Source organism: Homo sapiens, chromosome 11, assembly GCF_000001405.40.
Source record: "Homo sapiens chromosome 11, GRCh38.p14 Primary Assembly".
NCBI lineage: Eukaryota > Metazoa > Chordata > Mammalia > Primates > Hominidae > Homo > Homo sapiens.
Genome location: NC_000011.10, coordinates 114,201,585 through 114,222,478, shown reverse-complemented (window position 1 = coordinate 114,222,478; position 20,894 = coordinate 114,201,585). Strand labels below are relative to the sequence as shown.

At 46.5% G+C, this 20,894-nt stretch overlaps 1 protein-coding gene across 6 annotated transcripts in view, besides 3 other annotated features; it reads right to left on the bottom strand.

Annotated features, from left to right (window-relative positions):
• The window catches only part of ZBTB16 (zinc finger and BTB domain containing 16), a 197,060-nt gene that overhangs the window by 34,292 nt on the left and 141,874 nt on the right, over window positions 1-20,894 (bottom strand). The window contains exon 5 of one of the 6 annotated variants that reach the window (XM_005271658.6): window positions 12,147-13,108. The exons of the other annotated variants lie outside the window; for them this stretch is intronic. Coding sequence (XP_005271715.1) covers window positions 13,104-13,108 — 5 coding nt within the window. The 3' untranslated portion in view covers window positions 12,147-13,103. Of the gene's footprint in view, window positions 1-12,146; window positions 13,109-20,894 lie in introns of those variants that run through there. 6 annotated transcript variants of the gene reach the window in all.
• Window positions 6,298-6,592: an enhancer, noted in NCBI's record as "tiled region #4637; K562 Activating DNase matched - State 5:Enh". NCBI's record gives its function as "activates a minimal TATA promoter and a strong SV40 promoter by Sharpr-MPRA in K562 cells {active_cell/tissue: K562}" and the evidence as "EXISTENCE:reporter gene assay evidence [ECO:0000049][PMID:27701403]".
• Window positions 8,962-9,462: an enhancer, noted in NCBI's record as "H3K4me1 hESC enhancer chr11:114083739-114084239 (GRCh37/hg19 assembly coordinates)". NCBI's record gives its function as "activates a minimal SCP1, AML or CMV promoter by ChIP-STARR-seq in primed H9 embryonic stem cells {active_cell/tissue: H9 hESC(primed)}" and the evidence as "EXISTENCE:reporter gene assay evidence [ECO:0000049][PMID:30033119]".
• Window positions 9,463-9,963: an enhancer, noted in NCBI's record as "H3K4me1 hESC enhancer chr11:114083238-114083738 (GRCh37/hg19 assembly coordinates)". NCBI's record gives its function as "activates a minimal SCP1, AML or CMV promoter by ChIP-STARR-seq in primed H9 embryonic stem cells {active_cell/tissue: H9 hESC(primed)}" and the evidence as "EXISTENCE:reporter gene assay evidence [ECO:0000049][PMID:30033119]".

Here is a 20,894-nt window from a genome sequence, read left to right as displayed (position 1 = left end):
TCCATTCAGGTTTCTGCCCAGAATCACTTTGCTCACTCCTACACTTCCTGATTCCCCCTCTCTCAAAGAGCCCCTAAAAATAAGAAAGACAAGCCGTAGTGTTTATTCCATCACCTTCAGGCTTCTTTCTTAACTTATATTTTGGGGGTTGGGGGAGCTGTGACTTTCAGGCTAGTCCAAGAGGCCACTGAGAATTAAACAGCATGGATGATACTTTCTGTTCATTCAGGTTAAAGTAATTGTGGGCTTGGAGTCTTCGGGCAAAAGTCATTGAGAGGAGTGAATTTGAAGAACTTTCTAAATGTCCCCATTTGAACCCAGATGGAAGTTCTGTGAAGTTTTCAGTGCCTCAAGGATCAGCATGAAAGACCCTGTGATTCAAAAGATGCTTCCACCAAGCACGATTCCACACCACCCCTCACCCAAGACTCACTTGTTTCATTAGTGTATTCTCTGCAGGCGACAGCAGAGCCAAGCTGGATGGTCACTGCATGATCATGGACACTCTGTAACATGGGTCTCCTCTTGCCACGTACCCATCCTTTATTCCTCCTTTGTTCTTCCAGACTCCAAAAGCTCTTGGGCCATACATTTCACTCATCCTATTCCCCTTTCCTTTCTCTTCCTGAGTCATTCAGTTGCAGTTGTTTTCTGAAATTGCCTTTTAAGAGAAGACTGTTGTTTCCCAGTAATACCAGCACAGTCAGAGAATGCTAAAGACTGCCTCCCTCTGACAGGCCTTGGAAATGAAACACTCAAGAAATGGCCCAGAGGACCATTCATGATCTCAGACATGAATGGGAGAGAAACAACCCCCAAGTCACCCAACTCAGCCACTCTGGCAGCCTGAGTCTTGGGTCTTCTGAAGCACCTTACAGTGAGTGGAAAGTCAGGATGGCATGACAGTGGGGTGGAGTGGAGAAGGGGAATGAATGTGTGTGGAGTCCCTGAAACATTCTCTAACTGAAATGCTTCCAGGCCTAAGGTGTCTTCAGTGGCCTCCACTGTCATTTGCTTAATATGCACTTAATTTTAAACTTTAAGACAGGGCAACTTATTTAATCTCCCAACAGGCAAGATCTGGCTTGATTCTCCAAAGGAGCTTATTCCCCAAAGGATGAAAGACCCCAGTGATCTGATTTAGGCAGAGCTGGATCAGCAGTCACACACGGTTGGTACAGAGAGTCTGCCTCAGAACACCAGGACAAAGCGTTCATATTAATTAAGATCTTCATAGAAAGAAAACTCTCTCCAGGGAGTATCTGTTTGATTATTCCTATTTACTCAGTGATATTGCTGCTTGGCTCTTCCCTACCCTCCTTCCTAAGAAGCTGAATGGGTTCTGAAGGGAAAAGGAACTAGCACAGCCTTTGAATGGAGACTGTAGGGCATGAGGGGGGAGTGGGTAGGCTCTTCCACTGAAATGTTGGCCATCATGCCAGAAAAACCACCACGGATCACCGTGATGCTTACACGTATTCTACGACCTGCACATGCCTGCATGTCTTCAACCAGGGAAACTAGGGAAGCTGTCTACCTGGAAAACTTTTATGACAGAAAGTCCTGCTTCAAAGCCACATTATCTGTGGAGTGTCCCAAGTACAGAAATAAAGGACCTGCACCACCCAAAACTCTATGTAACTGCTGTGGTGTGCATCCCTACCCCAGCTCACTCTGTCCTCATGACCGTCCCTAGAGGGAAGTCATGGGAGGAGTAGCTGATACATTCATTTACTTATATACTACTTAATTAACGGGGGCCGTGACTGCAAGGCAATGGAGAAAAATAAGAATGTTGCTACAACTTTCTTCCATCTATGTCTATCAAGCATCCACCAGCACCTGGTCTGGGGAGACACTGATGAATCAGACTGACACAGTCCCTGCCCTGGTAGAGCTTCCCATCTACTGAAGGAGACATTAATCAAATGACTCCAGTACTTCCACGGCTTTCAGGGTTGGAATTTAAAGTTGAGAAGGGCTCCAAGGTAAAAATCTCCCTGTACCAGCTCCTTACAACACAAACACTCATCCACTCTTCTGTAAGCATCGGAGGCTAGAACATGACATATTTACACACACTCACATGCATGCATTGCTCACACACTCACATGCATGCATTGCACACACACATCCCCCACTCCAACACCACAGTGGAGGCCTGAATGGCTGCTATTCAGGGCCAGGGGCCTGGGCTATGTCATTAGAGAATAGCAGGCAAGCAGTTGCTCCTACTTCCTTGTACTGGAAGTCTGCTTCTGCCTGAGCTGATTTATTCCAAGGACCATCTGGGCCCAGAGAACAATGTGCTCTCCTATCTGAATGACCAGCCTATTAGTCATACCCTCTTAACTCGACCCCTCCGTCCACTAATCTTCACACTTTCCTTCATTCCCTTTGACGGAGGCCAAAGACTGGCTCTCTTTCCTCACCTCTCTCTAGGCTGGAGAAGTTCGTCTGGGACAAAGAGCTCTGGCCTCATGCCTGTGGGTCCAGCAGTCAAACTGGGACAGACTATGTGAAAAGGGACCCACAGCATTCCCCCTCACTGTCCCAGTCCTGTGGCCTGGTTTAGACATGGGGGTGAGCTCACCCTGACAGTGTTCACCCCAGGCTTTCCAAGGCTTCCAGACCCCAAGCCCAACAGACTGGAGAATTAGTTCAAGGCAACTCAGGCCTAATAGCTCCCCTTGAACTCACCCCACACCACTCTGCACGCTTCCCAGAATGTCTGCAAACAGCTTATACAATGCCATCACATCCTTACTCACATTTGTCTTAAATTGTCCTCTGACTGTTTAAAAGACTTTTTTTTTTTAAGCTTTTTTTAAAGTTCCTCCAGAGCAAGAAAAAAAACCAATCAACTTTTATCTCCCTCACAGCCCAGGACATAGCTAGGCCCAGAGACACAACTCGATTTTGCAGTAAGAATGAGTGACCTCAACACAGAAACCCTAAATCTTCTGATTGGAATAAGGAGCCTAAGATGCTTCCCATCCCACTCCCCAGCACCCCATCCAAAGGCTGGGCATCTCTGGAATGGGAAAGACCCAGCCACCCACTCAGACCCCTAATCCAGCATCACACACTTGCTCAGGGAATTCTTTTTTACATTTTAACTTGGATGCTACAGGTTGCTGTTTATGCTCATGTCTGTGACCTGGAGTGTTCTGTTTGTTGGTTGGTTGGTTGGGGCTTTTTGTTTTGTTTTTGTATTTAACTAGAAAGGGTGATGAAAAAAGGGAACTCTGACCCATGGGGATGTAATAATCTTCAACTCTTCCTTCCCTACCCTGGTTCCCACATGATGCCTCCCTACTGTTGTCTCCCCCATTCTAATGAGGTGGAGGTCAGTGAGTGCATCCACCACTCTGCCCCAGCCCCGCTATACATATACACGCACGTACATGCATACACATGCCAGCACATGGGCGTGCACACGCACATGCACACACACACACACGGCTCTCACTTTACGCCTTGTGCCAAGACAGAATTGATGGTGATGAGCAAAAGAGACAGGAAAAAACTCAAGCGGACGATTAGCTGGGTGAGGTTTATGGCAACAGGCAACAAACTCACTCATTTCATGTTTTGCAGAATATAAAAGCACCGAAACATTTTAATTTTAAATTCTTATCATTGAATTTACTGCTTTTCTCTCGCAATGATTTGTGTTGCTTTTTAATTTTTACAGTCTCTACAGAAGCCAGATGCTACTGCCTGAGGACAAAATAATAAAAACCTACTGCAGTCATGAGTTACAGAACAAAAAAGAAACAAGCAGTTGACAGAAGTTAATATCTCAATTTAACAGTGCTGCTTTGCTAATGATCCTTTGATATGTGTTTATTTAGAAAGGTCTGATCTTGACCTTGAAGGCAAACTCAACCACAAAGTCTTTATGAGAAAAGAAAAAGACTTTATTTATAGATTGGCTTTATGTCAATCACTCCAGCAGCTGGTCCCGAAGTGCCAAGCCACTGGAGGAGGGTGTAGAGGGAGAGCGGCCACCCATCCCAAATGGAGTGCTCATTCTAGGATCAGTGTGGGACAGGGAAAGTGGAAGAGGGGTTTCAGGAAATGTAAAGCCCCAGTGGGGCAGGACCCAGGGCCCTGAGCTCCTCTTCTTTGGAAGGAATCAGGGTGCTTGTATTCCCTCCAGACAATGCGACAGAACCAAGCATGATGAACCTCAGAAAAGAGAGACACATGTGCAAAGGGATGGTACGTGCAGCAATGGAACCAGCAAGAAGGGTTCACCTGGGTTGGACTTCCAGGAAGGTCCGTGCAGCACAGCAGGTCCTTCTCTGAGAAATTTCCAACAGCAGCCTGGAGGACTGCCCATCCAATCCCCCTGGAAGCAAGAGGGTGGATCTGCAATCCCCTAAGTCCCCACCAGTTCTGAGATTATTCTTCAGCCTGTCAGCCTCTTCTCTCCTACCCCAGGGCCAGGGCCCTGTTCACAAGAGATCCCTGGGATTTGAGAATGCCAGGAGCTGGGCCAGGAGAGCGCTCCTCACCCTGGAGAGACCCATCTATCTGCAGGGATCCCCACACCAGGCCATACCTTGAGAATCCGCCTCTGAGAAGCCCTCTGCACCTGAGGTCCCATGCTTCCTGCCTTCCTCACCTTCCAGGGAGCCTAAGGAGCTGGCTGCAGGAGGCCCTTCTCTGCTGAGCAGTGCCCTTTGCCCCAACTCTCATCCCCACCATGGTGTTCTGCCCTTAACTCATGACGCTTCATGCCCCGCCATCTGTCCAGGTGAACTCTACTCTCACGGTCTCAGTGACCACCAGGAAGCCAGGAGGCCTCCAGCCTGGACTTCTCTTCTGGGCACAAAATCCATATACCTAGCTGCTCCCTAGATGTTCCGCAGACATCTTATATTCAACCTGAATATCCAAACCTGAAACCCACATCTTCGCCTCTCAAACCTGCTTGGCCTGGATCTCCATCTCAGCTGTCAGCACTAACATCCTCTTGGTCACTCGAGCTAGATGCCTGGACGTCACCCCGAAGGCCTCTAGGTCCTCTTGCCTGACATTAGGATTGAGATACCCCAATCCAGCTCATTTTCTATCATGTAAGCATCCCTCATCAGGATAGCCACAAAAGTCTCCTAAACACAGCTTACCTCCCTCTGATCTCACCTGCACAGAACCACCAGTGCGACCTATCCAAAATGTATCTGATCTCATAACTTCCTTTTTAAAGGCTTCCAAGAACTCCTTGTCATCTGTGGATAAAATCTAGGCTCCTAAACACAGCCTAACAAGTTTCTGTGGCCTGGGCTTGCCTATGCCTCCAACTGTATCCACCACGTTCTATCTCAGCTGAGCTACTCAGGCCACAGTGTCACTGTTTCTAAACACATACAGTTCCATTTCTTCTGTCCTTCTCTCCCTTCATCCTGGCTACTTTCTACTTCTTGAAAACCTTGTGGTGTCTTCCTTTCTAGAAGCCTTATCTGTCCCCTGGGTATCTGCTGAGCACCCTTCCTCTGGGCTACCACAGTATCCTGTGTATAATAAATATCTCTATCGCTGCACTCAGCATTCTGCATTATAATTGCCTGTTTATGTGTCTGTCTTCCTCTCAACTCTGAATTCCTTGAATCAAGAGACTGGGTCTAGTCATCTTTCTATTCCCAGCATTTAAGCACATAGTAGATATGCAATAAATGTTGAATGAATGAGTGGCAAGCCGTCTTGGTTCTTCTGAAAATGATAGGGAATAGGGGATCTTTTAGTGTCATGCCAACTCAGTGAGAATAGGGGGTAAGGGGAGGTGACTTCTTATTTCCCTCCATCTCCAGTCTCCTGTAAGTCAAGAGAAATGTGTATATGCTGCAGGCTGCCTCCGGTGTGATGAGTTTAGGCTGATAGCACTGTCTTGCCAGAATGTTCCTCTGGGCCCCAAAGCAGCTGGGTGTACATTCCCCCACAAAAGGTTACCAGTGTCCAAAGGCTGGGCTTGTGCAGCAGCCCCTCCCCCTGTCCTTGTCACCCAGCCTCCTTCTGACCAAAGATAAGGGCTGGGTCAGAGCCCTGTTGACTGGAACAGCAATTTATCAGCCTAGTAAGGGTGGGACAAGGCAGAAGATGGCCCACCAGCCAGTCTGAGCACAAGGCCAGCAGAGGTAAGACTCAGATCATGAAGGACAAATGTGCCAGTCCACCCCCCAGCTCTGCTAGGAAGTAATCAGCACCCAGAACAGGGACACTTCTGCATTTGTCCCCACCCATCCAATAGACCAAAGCTGCAGCCTTTACAGGTGCCTGTGTGTGCAAGGGAAAGGGTGCACTGGGAAGAGAGGATAGGAGAGCTCGTATATGTCCTCTTCACAGCTCAACAGCCCCATGGAAAGGTTCGCTCAGAGCTGTAGGGCCTGTTCTCACTCAAGATAAGCGGGAGAGGTGGTAACAAATGGAAACCACAGCCTTATCTTGGCCTTCCTTCATCAACGCTCCCACACCCCTACCCTGTCTGCTCTGTTCAAGAGCTTCCCTCCTCCAAAAGCCCTTCCATTTCTAGGCTGTCTCCCTGAGTGCTGTACTGGCCTGTGAGTCCAGGCTCCTGCCCCTGACTATTGCAGATGGGAACAGCCAACCTTTCTCAAATAGCCATCAGAGAATGCCTGAATTTTGTACCCAACATCTACCTGTAAGATCTGTAATCACAAAATAATTCAAATTAAACTTTCAAAACATAAAAAAAGACAAAAGCTATAAAAAGATAAGGGCATCTATATATGTGCCCACTCACAACTGAAGCAGCTCCAGAGATGGACAGTTATCAGTCTCTCTTAGGAACATCTTTGCAACTCAGGAAGTTCTCACCAATGTCTAACCTAATGCGGCTGCTGCGGCTGTAAAGCTCTTTACCTCTCGTTGTAGGGTAAAGACAAAAGGAGTCTTTCTCTTAATTTCTCTTTTCTTGCTAGCACACCAGGCAACTTCTAGGTAGAAGCAATATGCTGCACCAGAGAGACATCTGAATGAGCTGCCATATCTTTCCCTTCCCCTTTTTGGAAAGAGCCAATGAGATGTGAGGTCTTGGTCATCCTGGACTGGCAGGGAAGGTAACCCATCTCAATCCTCCAGAATGAAGAACCCGAGCCTGATCCTCAATGAGAAGAGGGAGCAGAGAAGGGAACAAGTGAATCCCTGGGCCACTCAAGAGAAGCAAGAAGGCCAACTTCTAAAACAAGTTATTTTACGGCAGGCAGCCAGTGTAGGTCCAGACTGAGTTATGTGTCCTTTGTGTTGAACAACTACTAGTTATCAGGTAAGTCATAAAGGAACATTCGTAAAATTAGATTCACCACTTGTTTTTATAGCACTCATTAAGGGACATAAAAGACAATTCTTTTCAGCGTTTTGGTGCTGAATTATAAATTCAATTAACTGGACACAGTTAACCTCATAGATCCAGAAATCTTTATATTAAAGAAGCAACTTCCACCTATAAGCAGGAAAAAAAAAAAAAAGATAAGCTCCTCTCTCTGGCTTCCAAATCCCTCCACCCCAATTGAGCAGACTTTCTGCCATCATCACTCACGTCTGCCTTTTCTCCTTCACTTGTGCCTTCTTCTCTGCTTTAGGAAAAAAAATAATTTCAAAATCAAGAAAAAACAAACAAACAAACAAACCACCACAGGCTGGCCAACATGGCGAAACTCCGTCTCTACTAAAAATATAAAAATTAGCCGGATGTGGTGGCGCATGCCTGTAGTCCCAGCTACTCACGAGGCTAAAGTATGAGAATCGCTTGAACCCGGGAGGCGGAGATTGCAGTGAGCCAAAATTGCGCCACTGCACTCCAGGATGGGCGACAGAGCAAGACCCTGTCTCAAAACAACAACAACAAAAAAGCCAAAAAAAAGCCCCCAAATAACACCAACCACCCTGAGACTTTAAATCCTCCAGCAAGATATAGAATCTCTCTTCAGCCTAAGTTTACTCCAGGGATCATAATAGCCATAGGGCTGCTGTGAGAGTTAATACAACTAAATAATAAACTTAGCTGAGTACCTGGCCAGTATGCCATAAAAGGTAATGCCATTAATATCATTTTCAAAAAACTTCACAAATAACTATCACAGTTATTAATATCATTTTCAAAAAACTTCACAAATAACTGTCACAGTTATTAATATCATTTTCAAAAAACTTCAAGTCCCATCTCCCCTACTAACTCTTTCCCAGTAATCTAATCAGTACTTATTGAACATATAATGTGTACCAGGCCCTGAGTTAGGTCCCAGAGATGGAAAGATGAGTAAGGCACTGTCCCCTTACTATGGGGGTCCAGACATGAGACTAAATACTGTGTCCTCGTTAACATATTCCTTCTCTAAATTCCTCTCCACGCACCACCCAGGCTGGCATCTGATTACACAGTGACCTTTTGCTGGTCTCTGGCTGATTTATATATGTCTATATATAGTGTCTCCCCAGCAGATTTATGTCAGAATAGTAGGAAAAGACAAAACAAAACATGAGCGCCAGCATCAGGAAGCTCTACAACTTAAAAGAGGTGGAGCAGCAAGTAGTTCAAGTGTGAACTCTGCAGTCATTCATGGTGGATCAAACCCCACTTCACCACTTACTACTGCTGTGTGACCTCAGGTAAGTTACTTAACTCCTCTGTGCCTGTTTCATCTAAAACCAGGATAACAACAATCCCTGTCTCACAGGGATTTAGGGATTTTATGTGGATTCAAAGAGATGACGTGTTTAACATGTTTAATACTACTTAGCTTAAAGCAAATTATACCCCAGAGAAGGCTACCTATGTCTAGCCCTGATGTTCCTCATCTGGACACAGGAATGTTCATCTTGGAAAGTTAATATGAGGACCAAATAACACAGTCTGAGGTAAGCACTGGCACAGTTTGTGGCACCCAGTGACTTCAGTGAGAATCTAATTACTGCTGGGGTCTCCTCCCATGAGCAAGAAGCAGATCTTTCTTCACACCTTTTTCACAGTGGTGCCCTATCAGTCCAAATTAGCATTCGCTAATTTAATGTGAATGGGAATGGAGGGAATGGAAAGGAATGAGGATTTCTAAAGCTATTCTTTAGAAGAAAATTCTTTGTATTGCATTTTTTAAATGAGGAGGTGGTGGGATGGAGAAGACAAACAACAGGATACAGGACACGTGAATTTATGCGAGTCCTACAAATACCTATCTCTTGGCAAATGATTTCTCTGCCCAGTGTCCACCTTGGTTCAATGAGTTGGAAGCGATGGACAAAGCATTTCATCAAGGCCTCACGTCACCAAAAGCCTGGGTGAGAGTTAAGAGGGACAATGTTTCCCTACAGCAGCCAGGCCATGGTGGAGCAGCACAGTGGACTGAGGTGTCCTGGCCAGTCACAGCTCTGGATGGCCCCCTGTGGGCACACAGGGGGTCGGGGGGATGGGGGAACAGACAGACAAGCTTCCATGGGTGGGCCACTCCTGAGCCACAGAAGGAAGAAACAAAGTCAGCTGTTCAGAAGGATGTCCAGACCATCCAGTGATGAAGGTTGAGGGAGGGGTGCCGGCATTTTCTACCAAGCAGAAAACATAGAGACTTCCTCTGCAGATTTTTAGAAAAGGGACCCACAGCAATTCCTCCGGCACACGTGAGCACGGACTGCCTGCTCCGAGGCAGGCGATGGGGGATGGGGGGATAAGCCAGGTGGTCCCTCAGGGATGCTTCCAGCCCAAGGAATTTAAGGGTGGTTCCCAAGTCTCAAACATCCAGGACTGAACGACAGCAAAGGTATCATTACATTTATCTTCACTTGGCATCCAAAGCAGCTTCGGGAAGCAACCTGGCATGCTCAAAGGAGCACTAGGAAATACAGAGAATCAGAGCCCAGTGCCTGACTCCGCAACTGTGTAGCTGTGTGACTCTATAGCGAAGTCTTTTCACCTGTCAAGGCTCAGTTTCTTCATCTATAACAGGAGAAAATTGGAGCAGAGAATCCCCAAGTCCCTTTCTAAATTTGTGTGGCTATGTTAAAGGAGAAGAATGACCTCTTCCCTTCCTGCTTTCCCAAGCAGGGTCCACACCAGACAGGAGTGGACAAGAACTCCAGGAAACTTTGAAAATGCCTGGGGGAGGGGGAGAGGCACAACAAAGCCCCTTACTTTCTTTCTTTCTTTCTTTCAAAGTCACTCCCAGCTTCTTGGGACACAAAAGTATCTGTTAAGGTAAGTTAAACCTTCTCAAGATGAATTTTCCTGCGACTTTTAATTAAAAGTTCTTTAGAATTTAAAGAACACTATTCAGAAAAGGCTGAAAAAAAAATTTCATTGACACTCCCCCCTCCCCATCCCCCCTTTCCCAAGGAAAAGAAAAAGCTGTTTTGTGCACAGCTCGCCCGGTCCACACTGTACAAAAGGAGGTGGGCTGGCGGCAAGACACATGAGATGACCCTTTGACCCCAGACCGCTGACAAGTCCTCAATGGCATAAATACCAGATAATCAATCACATGCCAGGAGGGCGAGTCCCCCTGCCCTCGCCCCAGCGTTGGGGTTTATGAGAGATACACTGTAAATAGACACTGGCTTCTTAAAAGAGGCCCCCCTCAGCATTCCAGGGGCCGGCCATAATCCCGAACCAGGCCTGGCCAGATCCTTGACCATCTCGTTTTACAGCTTTCATCGCGAGCTTATAAAGCGCTCTGCCCTCCCAATCCCCCACTGCAAGCTGGCCTTCCTGGTATGAAATGAAGTCAAACTCCCCACTGCGAACGCAAACGGGGACTCTGAAAATCACTGCAAAGAAGGTGAGGGCAGAGGACAAGCAGGAAATGGGGCGGGTCGCCAATAACACCCCAATGCGGGGGAGGGGGAAGGGAGCCAACCAGGACCTGGGGAAGTGACGAAGAATCAATAAGGATGATACTGATGACAATGGTAACAACTGTGGTAACAGTAGTTAGCACTGGCTCAACACTTAGTAAGCACCAAACCCCACAGTAAGCACTTCATGTGTATCCTGTTATCTATCCTCAAAAATAACTCTAGGAGGCGGGCACTATTATTGCTATGCCCATTTTACAGATAAGGAAGGTAGGTGGGGGGCTCAGAGTTCAAATAATTTGTCCAAGGCCACAGTGACAGTTAATGACAGGGAAGATGAGATTTAAACCCACAGAAATGGCTCAGGTCTAGATATACCTCCACCCCACACCACCAAGTCTATGGATTTCTGCCTGGAAGGAGAAGAAGGTAGAAATCAATCTGCACTTTTAGGTCACTCACTTGGCTCATGCCTGTAATCCCAGCACTCTGGGAGGCCAAGGAGGGTGGATGAACTGAGGTCAGGAGTTTGAGACCAGCCTGGCCAAAATGGTGAAACCACTGTCTCTACTAAAAATAGAAAAATTAGCTAGGGGTGGTGGTGCACACCTGTAATAATCCCAGCTACTCGGGAGGCTGAGGCAGGAGAATCGCTTGAACCCAGGAGGCGGAGGTTGCAGTGAGCCGAGATCAAGACACTGCACTCCAGCCTGGCGACAGAGTGAGACTCCATCTTTAAAACAAAACAAAAAAAAAATCAACATATCATCTGAATAGTTAAATCTCCAAGACAGCCAGAAACTAGGCTAGTTTCAGAGGAGAAAGAGTTTTTACATCCAACTCACAAATTTTGAACCCCACTGTGGTATAAGATTCTCATCTCTGTCCTTTAACCCACCTTAGACCCCAAGAGCCCTGGCAGTGAACACCAGGCCTGGGATGTCTCTAAGGTAATGATGGCCTTCCAAAATTTTGCTCTTGCTCTGGGAAGTTTACCAAGATTCTAAACTAGCCCCGGCAAACAGGGAAGTGGGGGTGAGGAGAAGAAGACAGACGCTCTTGGTAAATAATTTTGATAATGCTTTTGTTTCAGGGTCAAAGGTTAAATATGGCCACACTAATCCGCTTCTTCCAAAATTAAAGCACAAGGGAGATTTTTCTGTAGCTTAGCAAGAGGGCTTTTTCTCATTGCTGGGGAAATGGTACTGATCCCGCCCACTGAACGGGGATGCTCGGCTGTTGCAGACAGAGATTTGTGCTAATTTGGACAGAACATCCCAGCTCCTGGCTGCAGGGTTAGAGTTATTTATTATTAAGACCAAAGTGAAAGAAATGCAAGGTGATTCTTAAAAATTTTAATAGTCCCTCTGTCCCACCCCACCGGCTTTTGAATAATGCTTCCTGAAATGTCCTAGAAAGGAGAGAGGAGAGTAAATGCTTGGGAACCCGACACTCACAAACTGTGCACGCGCGCGCACGCACACACACACACACACACACACACACACACTAGCTTTGGCTGTAAGAGAAAACATTAATGATCAACCCGCACATTTGCAATGTTTCACAGAGTGCAGAGTACACCTCCTTCATCTGCTCTTCTCAGCAGGCTCACCGGGCAAGTGGCTTTTTGACCCTCTTCTACCAATGAGGAAACCAAGCTTCTGAAAGGACAAGCAACTTGTCTGAAGTCTTGCTCCTAATAAGTAGCAGCACCAGGGCTAGAAATTTCTTTGTTCCTGTGGCTGCATTCCTGAGACTGTAGCAGACATACAGATATCCTTCATGAAGAAATATGGGGTCCCCTCAACAAACATGAGACCCACAGCAGGATGCCAGAAGGAACTCTGATCAGAAATGCCTCTCTCGAACCCATTTTCCTAAAGCTTATCCCTGGGCTGTGGTGTACTCCTGAAGTGGCAAGTGAGAGAGGGGTGAACATGCCTGGGGGCCTGAAATTGAGGATTCTCTATCCTTGCCTCCTGCTCTGACCAACAGTTAATTTTTCTCTTCCTTAACCCTGGTTGGGGGAATAGTCACCACCCTAAGGCAGAGGAGAGCCCCCCAGGGAGGCAGTTGCCTTGCAAGAAATGATTGTCCAAGTGTCAACAACCTGCTGCTTCCCAGAGCCTCAGGGTCAGAGGCCAGGAGGGAGCACAATGGCTTTCTGGAGCTGAAGGGTCTGGGGAGAGGGGCCTCTGGGGATCTCCGGAATGTGAAGGCTCTGAATCCAGGCACCGGGGTCTCCTGTTTTTGCCCTTTTATATCCTTCCTCCCTCCACAAATCCCAGACACCATTAACCTGAAAAACAGTAGATCAAGAAAGGAACGGGATTAGTAACAGCCTACATACACATGCATACACAAAAAAGTTTATTTCACAAGAAATGGCCAGCAAATCCTTCTCCAGCACACAAAATAAGTGCACCCCAAAGCAGCTTTGAGTGTCTCCTCCTCCTGCTTCCAAACCTTCCCTGCCCACTCACCCCACCAGAGTTGGGTTATCCACCTTTTCTGCATCCATGATGCAAGTCGCAAAAAGACCTCCTTTGTCTCTGCCCTCTTCTTATCTGCTGTCTCCTGGGGGCAAGTTATCTTCGGATGCGGGCACCTGCACAAGTGGTTGGTTCTCAAATCCCATTGAATGAATGAGATTTACAAGGGAATTACACAGTTTGGGGAATCTCTTCCTTCTGAAACTTTCTACTCTAGAGGTTATGGATCTGGAATGGTTTGCCTGTGGAATCTGTCTCATTGACCCATTCGGATGACGCCGAATCAAAAACCTTAAGATACCTTTCTTCCTAACTTCTGCCCACCACCTAACACTGAATACTTAATTACTGAATACTTAATCACTGAATGGACCAGTCTGTTTCCCTCATTATTTTCTCTATCATTCCAAACAATAGTGGTTAACTTGCTCTTGTACAGCATTTGTGGTGGTGGTACGTGCAGGGAGAAAGCAAGGTAGGTGCAAGATAAAAGAAGCCAACGGAAGAAAAGGGCCCAGAAAAGCTGGGATGGGAGGCTGTGCAGAGGGCACAGACTGGGGTGCATTGGCATTGCAGGGCACCCTGAAGCCAGAGCCCATGACAGGAAACCACAGCAAGAGGAAACATCACAATGACATCACCTTACATCTGAATCATGCTTTACTGCTTGCAAAGACCCTACCCTGTTCTAAGACCATTTTGGTCCTCACATCCCTTTTTGAGGTATAAAGGGCAGGTATGGTGTCCTAATTTTTCAGACAAGGAATCTGAGACTTGCAAAGGATGAGTGACTCTTCCAAGGTCCTTCACCTGGCAAGTGAAGAGCAAAAATCTGAAGCCAGACAAGAACAGATTCTTCATTCCTGCTTCTAATCAGGAAGCTCCCTTTTCTGTTTTTGATTAATCATGCAATAAGCATTTATTGAATGATTATTTGAACTAACACAGTAGAAAGGCCCAAGTCCCCAAGGTGGTTCAATCTTCACCCTAACTCGTGCAGTGGCAAGATAGCTAAGGGCAAGTGGTGTACATCTATGGTGCTGGAGACCAGAAGGAGGGTCAACTGTGAAAAGGGTGTCATAGAGAAGACAAATGAGCTGAGAAGACTCTATTAATACCAGGCAGGCAAGGCCAGGCGTGGTGGTTCACACCCGTAATCCCAACACTTTGGGAGGCCGAAGTGGGTGGATCACCTGAGGTCAGGAGTTCGGGACAAGCCGGGCCAACAGAGTGAAACTCCATCTCTAATAAAAATACAAAAATTAGCTGGGCATGGTGGCACACGCCTGTAATCCCAGCACTTTGGGAGGCCAAGGCAGGAGGATCACTTGAGGTCAGGAGTTCGAGACCAGCCTGGTCAACATAGTGAAACCCTGTCTCTACTAAAAATACAAAAATTATCTGGGTGTGGTGTCGCATGCCTGTAATCCCAGCTACTCAGGAGGCCGAGGCAGGAGAATCGCTTGAACCCAGGAGGCGGAGGTTGCAGTGAGCTGAGATCTTGCCACTGCACTACAGCCTGGGTGACAAAGTGAAACTCTGCCTCAATATGTGTGTGTGTGTGTGTGTGTGTGTGTGTGTGTGTGTTGTGTGTGTGTATCAGGCAAACAAGACACATGAGAGTGTGGGGGTTAGTGGAAGATGCATGGAGGAGAAAAACAGCCAGGAGAGTCTGGGAAATTCTAAGTGGCTCAGTGTACACGCATCATAGGGGGTGACAAAAGATGAGGCCTGTGACTCTGATTGTGAGGAACCTTCTGGGCCACGCAGCAGAGTCTAATCTTATCCCATCTGGAAATTCAAAACCCTGGTTATCCATAGGAATCTCCTGGGGAGCTTGAAAATACATCCATGTCTGAGCCCCATGCAGGAGGTTCTGACTCATCCGGGTTGAGGTGGGAACCTTTGCTTGCTATTAATACATTTTTTTCATAAAGTTCCTCTAAATGATTTCACTGTGTAGCTGGGGTAAGACAATGATGATGCTTTGAAGGATAAGAGAGAGAGACGCAAGAGCAGGTATGGGTGTTAAGATGGCAGAGACATCCTTACCTAGGATGTAACACATGAGGCCAAGCACCAAAACTTGGGCTGCAGCCATCAACTCTGCATCCACCCTCCATTGCCACCTTTGTCTTACAGGAATGAGGCAGTCGTTCAAAAACAGAGCATGCCGCCATCCTGGGGTCTTATGTGATAAACCTCTCACTAGGGTCCTTTCCCAGTGTCACTTGCCTTCAGACCAACAAGCTGCAGCTGTCAAACCAAGGGCACCTGAGAGATCAGACAGAGAAGTAACATGGGGGAAATGCTGTGTGCAGAAGCCATAGGTGTCTAGCCACAGCAGACTGGATTTTGGGCAGACAAAGGGATGGGGAACCTAAAAACATCACTCCTCAATTCTTAGTGCAGGTATATCACATCCAATTGCCTTGTTTTATTACTTATCTTTTTAGATATGTATGTTTTCCTCCCTAGCAATAGTTAGCTTTCTGAAAGCGGGCTGAGCCCTAATTTTTCTATTTTGTAAAAATGTACAGAATGCTTAGAACAGCACAGCTAGCAGGCAAAGTGAGGTTTGAGGAACTCCAGGCCATCAGCATCAGGCTTGCTATGGGGGCTCCTCAGGCCCATACAGAGCCCTGGTGCAGACCCTGACTCACAGACGGCCAAGGAGGGCTGCCTGGGGGCAGAATCTCCTACTCTGGGGATTTCCAGGAAAGGGAAAGAGGAGCTTTTCTGGAGATGGCACAGAGTTGTGGGTAGAGGGACAGAAGCAGTGGTCTAAGACCAGGGATTCCTGGGTTCTAGCCCACAGTGTCTCTCTCTAGCCTGCTGTGTGATCCCAGACAAATCCCAGAACCCCTCTGAAGCTCAGCATCATGCTCCCTAAAGCCCCTTGCAACAGTTCTGCAGTCTAGGAGTCTACAGATTTTAGAATTCTAGGACCCCTAATTAGTGTCTCCCGATGTGAAAACACCCCAACACTGGGCTCAGTATATGTAAATGGCAATTCCAGACTCTACTTTTGAAAGGTTGGCGATATGGCACCATGACTTGGTACTAGATGAGACAAGTCCTCTTTCTGAGTAGCAGCCAGGCTCCCTCTTGACATCCAGGAGCTTAAGATTTGGGGCCCAGTGGGTGTCCCAGAACAAGGAATCTAAGCTAGGGAGCCAGATGAGGTCAGTGGCCAAGACCTTGCCCTCTAGACCACTTGTCTGGAGACAGGGGATCCCGAGCCATTTCAAAATAGAAAAACCCTTGGTGCTCATTCATTTGTCAAAAGCCTCAAGTGTGTTCCCCAGAGGAGAGCAGTCAGAGTGACTCTAGGGCCCAAGGGGCAGCTTTCAGATGCAGAGTCTCCCCCTTGTCAATTCCTGTAACTAAAATGAATATGGAAAAGATAATTACCTTTAAAACATACTTAATACTTGAACACATTATCTCTACCTGCAGAAAAAGAATGTTATCTGATGGGATCTTCCCCATAAGCTTAATCAAATTGCTATCTTAAAACTCTCTGGAGTCCTGTGAAACAGTAATAGAAAATCCGAGGCAGAGGCTGGAAGCATTTTATATTTGTTTGGTTGAGGGGAACGTGCGTCCCATCTGACAATGCACACTTAAGAGACAAAGTCATTTCCAATCTGTAATGGATCTTCTCCTACTGGGGGCAGGGAACATTGCGTCTGACCCAAACCTACAATCTCTCTGTTAGCTAACTTCTCCTAAGGTTCAGAGAAGAAATTTTTTTTTTTTTTTTTTGAGACGGAGTCTCACTCTGTCACCCAGGCTGGAGTGCAGTGGCGCGATCTCGGCTCACTGCAAGCTCCACCTCCCGGGTTCACGTCATTCTCCTGCCTCAGCCTCCTGAGTAGCTGGGACTACAGGCGCCCACCACTACGCCCGGCTAATTTTTTTGTATTTTTAGTAGAGACGGGGTTTCACCACGTTAGCCAGGATGGTCTCGATCTCCTGACCTCGTGATCCGCCCACCTCGGCCTCCCAAAGTGCTGGGATTACAGGCATAAGCCACCGCGCCCGGCCGAAATTTTTTTTTCAAATGCCTTTTTCCTAATGCCTGGTTGGGGCTCATCAGCTCCAGGAAATCTTCCCTAGTTGGGCCTGGGATACTTAATGTATGGAGATGCTTAACTTGTTACTTAACTCTGGGTTTTAACGTGGCAAATGAATTGATGCCTATATTTTCCTCAGTCTGCCCGACCTCAGGGCAGTGCCATTCGTTAAATTAGTAGCGGAAGTAAATTACCTGCCCAAATCCAGCTCAGGGCGAGTGACCACTTGCAAGCCTAGAGAAAACCAAAAGGGAAACAGTTTCTAAGAAGACTGAATGTGGGGACTGGATATGTTCCCAGCATCTCAAGCTTGCCTGGGATGGTCGAGTAAACAGCTACTGCAAAACTGCTTGGCGGGCCCAGTTTATCTTGTTGACAGAAGCAGCAATAGGTGAGAGGTGGTAATGAGCTGCATCTCTGTTAGCCACTTCTCCTGCCTGGAGCCCCTGGAAGGTCCTCTGGATACAGGGTCTGGTCCCTGGTGCACAAGTAAGGAACATCAGAGATCATGGGGAGAAAAAAACGAATGGGTGTAGGGAGAACACTGGGAAACCATTAAAATGATCATCAAGACATAGGTCTGTTGGTAGGCAAATCACAGATTACAAAACAGTATGCACTGAATATCATAGCCCCATTTGTGAATAAAAGAAAAATGAGACCGGGTGTGGTGGCTCACACCTGTAATCCCAGCACTTTAAGAGGGTGAGGTGGGTGGATCACCTGAGGTCAGGAGTTTGAGGCCAGCCTGGCCAACATGGTGAAACCCCATCTCTACTAAAAAATACAAAAATTAGCCGGGCATGGTGGTGCATGCCTGTGAAGGCTGAGGCAGGAGAATCGCTTGAACCCGGAAGGTAGAGGTGGCAGTGAGCCGAGATCGTGCCATGGCACTCCAGCCTAGAAAACAAAGCAAGACTGTGTCTCAGAAAAAAAAAAAAAAAGATAGTGGGACACAGAGAACATATTTCTTTTGTTTGTAAGTATTTTCTAATTTCCCCACACTGAAGCCGTATTACAGGTATGATTTTTCTTAAAATGGGGTGCCTGGGTCAATACCATCCGTGTCTTGCTTTTGACAAGAGTGACTCCTCCCAGGCCAGATGATGGCTGGCTTTTCTTCTAGAAATCTACACAGACGCAACTACCCCGTCTCCTCCTGACTTTGCAGATGTCGGACTCACTACTTCACCAGATCAGAGTTCAGACCTGATCCTTCCTTCCTGTTTCTGAAAATGGAGGAATGGGGAGGGCAAGGAGGCATCCCAGAGCCACCCCTACTCCCTGCTGCCTTCTGTGAATAGAATGATTCTAAAGGTGCCACAGTCTCCTGCACTGTCTGAATGGTCACTATGATGCAAAGCGTTACCTGCAGTCCTGTGATGCCGCAGGTATAGGAGGTTGGGTTAAGTCTGTAAGAACCAACAACATACCTGGAAGTTGTTTTTTATTTTAATTGAAATATAATTCATGTACCATAAAATTCCACCCTTTTAATGTTTTTGTTGTTGTTGTTTTTGCAGGGGGGCGGGGGGGTTGTTTTTAACAGGCAGGGTCTTGCTCTGTTACCCAGCCTGGAGTACAGTGGTGCCATCAAAGCTCACTGCAGCCTCAAGCTCCTGGGCTCAAGTGATCCTTCTGCCTCAACCTCCCAAAGCATGAGCCACTGTGCCCGGCCCTTTTATTGGTTTTTAATGTATTCATAAAGCTGAATACCATCACCACCACTATCTAATTCCAGAATATCTTCATCACTCCAAAAAGGAACCACATACCCATTAGTAGTCACTTCTCATTTTCCCCAAGCCTGTGGCATCCACTAATCTACTAACTGTCTAGAGCTCTCTGTTCTGAACATTTTCACATAAATGGAATCATCTAATTCATGGCCTTTCATGTCTTGCTTGTTTCACTTAGCACGGGATTTCCAAAGTTCATCCATGCTGTAACATGCATCAATATTTTACTCTTTTTATGGCCAAATTATAGTCCATGGTATGGATATACCACATTTTGTATATCCATGCATCAGCTGATAGGCAATTGGGTAGTTTCCACCTTTTGGCTATTGTGAACAACACTGCTATGAATGTTCATGAGTAAGTTTTTATGTGGACACATTTTCAATTCTCTTGGGTTGGAAGTTACTTTTTGAAAATAAATTCTTGTTATTAGGTTGTCATTTGTCTCTCTCCCACATTAAAAACAAAAAGAGCACAGGACAGTTAAAAAAAATCTGAGACTTCCAACTACTTGGGTTCCAAATAAGTGATACCTGCCTGTCCTTGCCACACTCCAATCTCACACACACACTTTTACTGCATTCCCCTCTGCCCCCTCACCCCGGGGCTCCGCAGGACTGCATCCTTAACCCACAGCCCTCACCAGCCCAAATTATGCCTCTAAGCAGGAATCTTCACTGCAGCATATGAAATATTTAAGCCGCTTTTCTAAATATATACATTATTTAGCCTACAGTCTATAAAATATTGATATTATTTGTTTCTCCCACGCCCAAATATCTGCATTATTTACGGTACAGTTGGGGAAACATTTTTCCTATTGCCTGTGTCACTGGGGCACACACAGATTGGAGAGAGGCAATAGTGACAGTTCTCTCGCCCAGGTCACACAGAAGGCCCTGGGAATGCAGGAGATAACAGTGTCCAAAGCCAGATGGACAGCACTGTAGTCACCTCTGTGACCTCGTGGTACCATGGGAACAGGGAGCAAACACCCCGTTATTTCTCGAGGGCAGTTTTGTATTCCAAGCTCAGTGCCCCACTACTGTTGATATTTAATTGATCCCCAAGTCTCCCATATGGGGAGTCACTCCCACTTCCAGCTGAGCTCATTCTTATTTGTGGCCTCTGTCACCCCCTCCAGGTGTGACCTCAGTCCTTATGTCGGTGTAAGAAAAAGCTCTCTTCTTACTCACTTCCTCCGTCAGGCCCATAGTGAACAAGACAGCAGCCCTGACCTCTGAGTGCTGGCACAGGCCCATTCCCCTGTGCTGCATTCTCCATCTGGCATTTATCTGTTCTAACAGTGGGAAACTGAGGCACCTGCCAGTGTGGCTGAGATACTGATGTCCATGAGCGCTCCCAAAACTCATTTATTTGTACTTGCAGCCTTTTCTTTTTAGAAGTCCTCCTTCCATACACAGAATGAGACTTGAAGGTGATATTTTTCTTATTTATAAAGTGACTTTAATTTTTAAAATTATGTAAGTGATATGTGCTTGTAAATCATCATTATTATTACTCAAAAATAGATAAAGCAGAAAGTAGAACACCTTTGCCCTATAATCCCACTTCTAAAGATAATCATTGTTAACAGGTATAGAGCATTACAGAGTCTTATAGGGTGGCTTTAGTATTTTATATGAAATGGGACCACACTATATAACCTGATTTCTCTAATCAGCTTTTATCATGCAAAACATCATGGACATCTTTCCATACCATCATTGACAGATTCCTTACTTTTGGATATTTAGGTCATTCTCATTGCT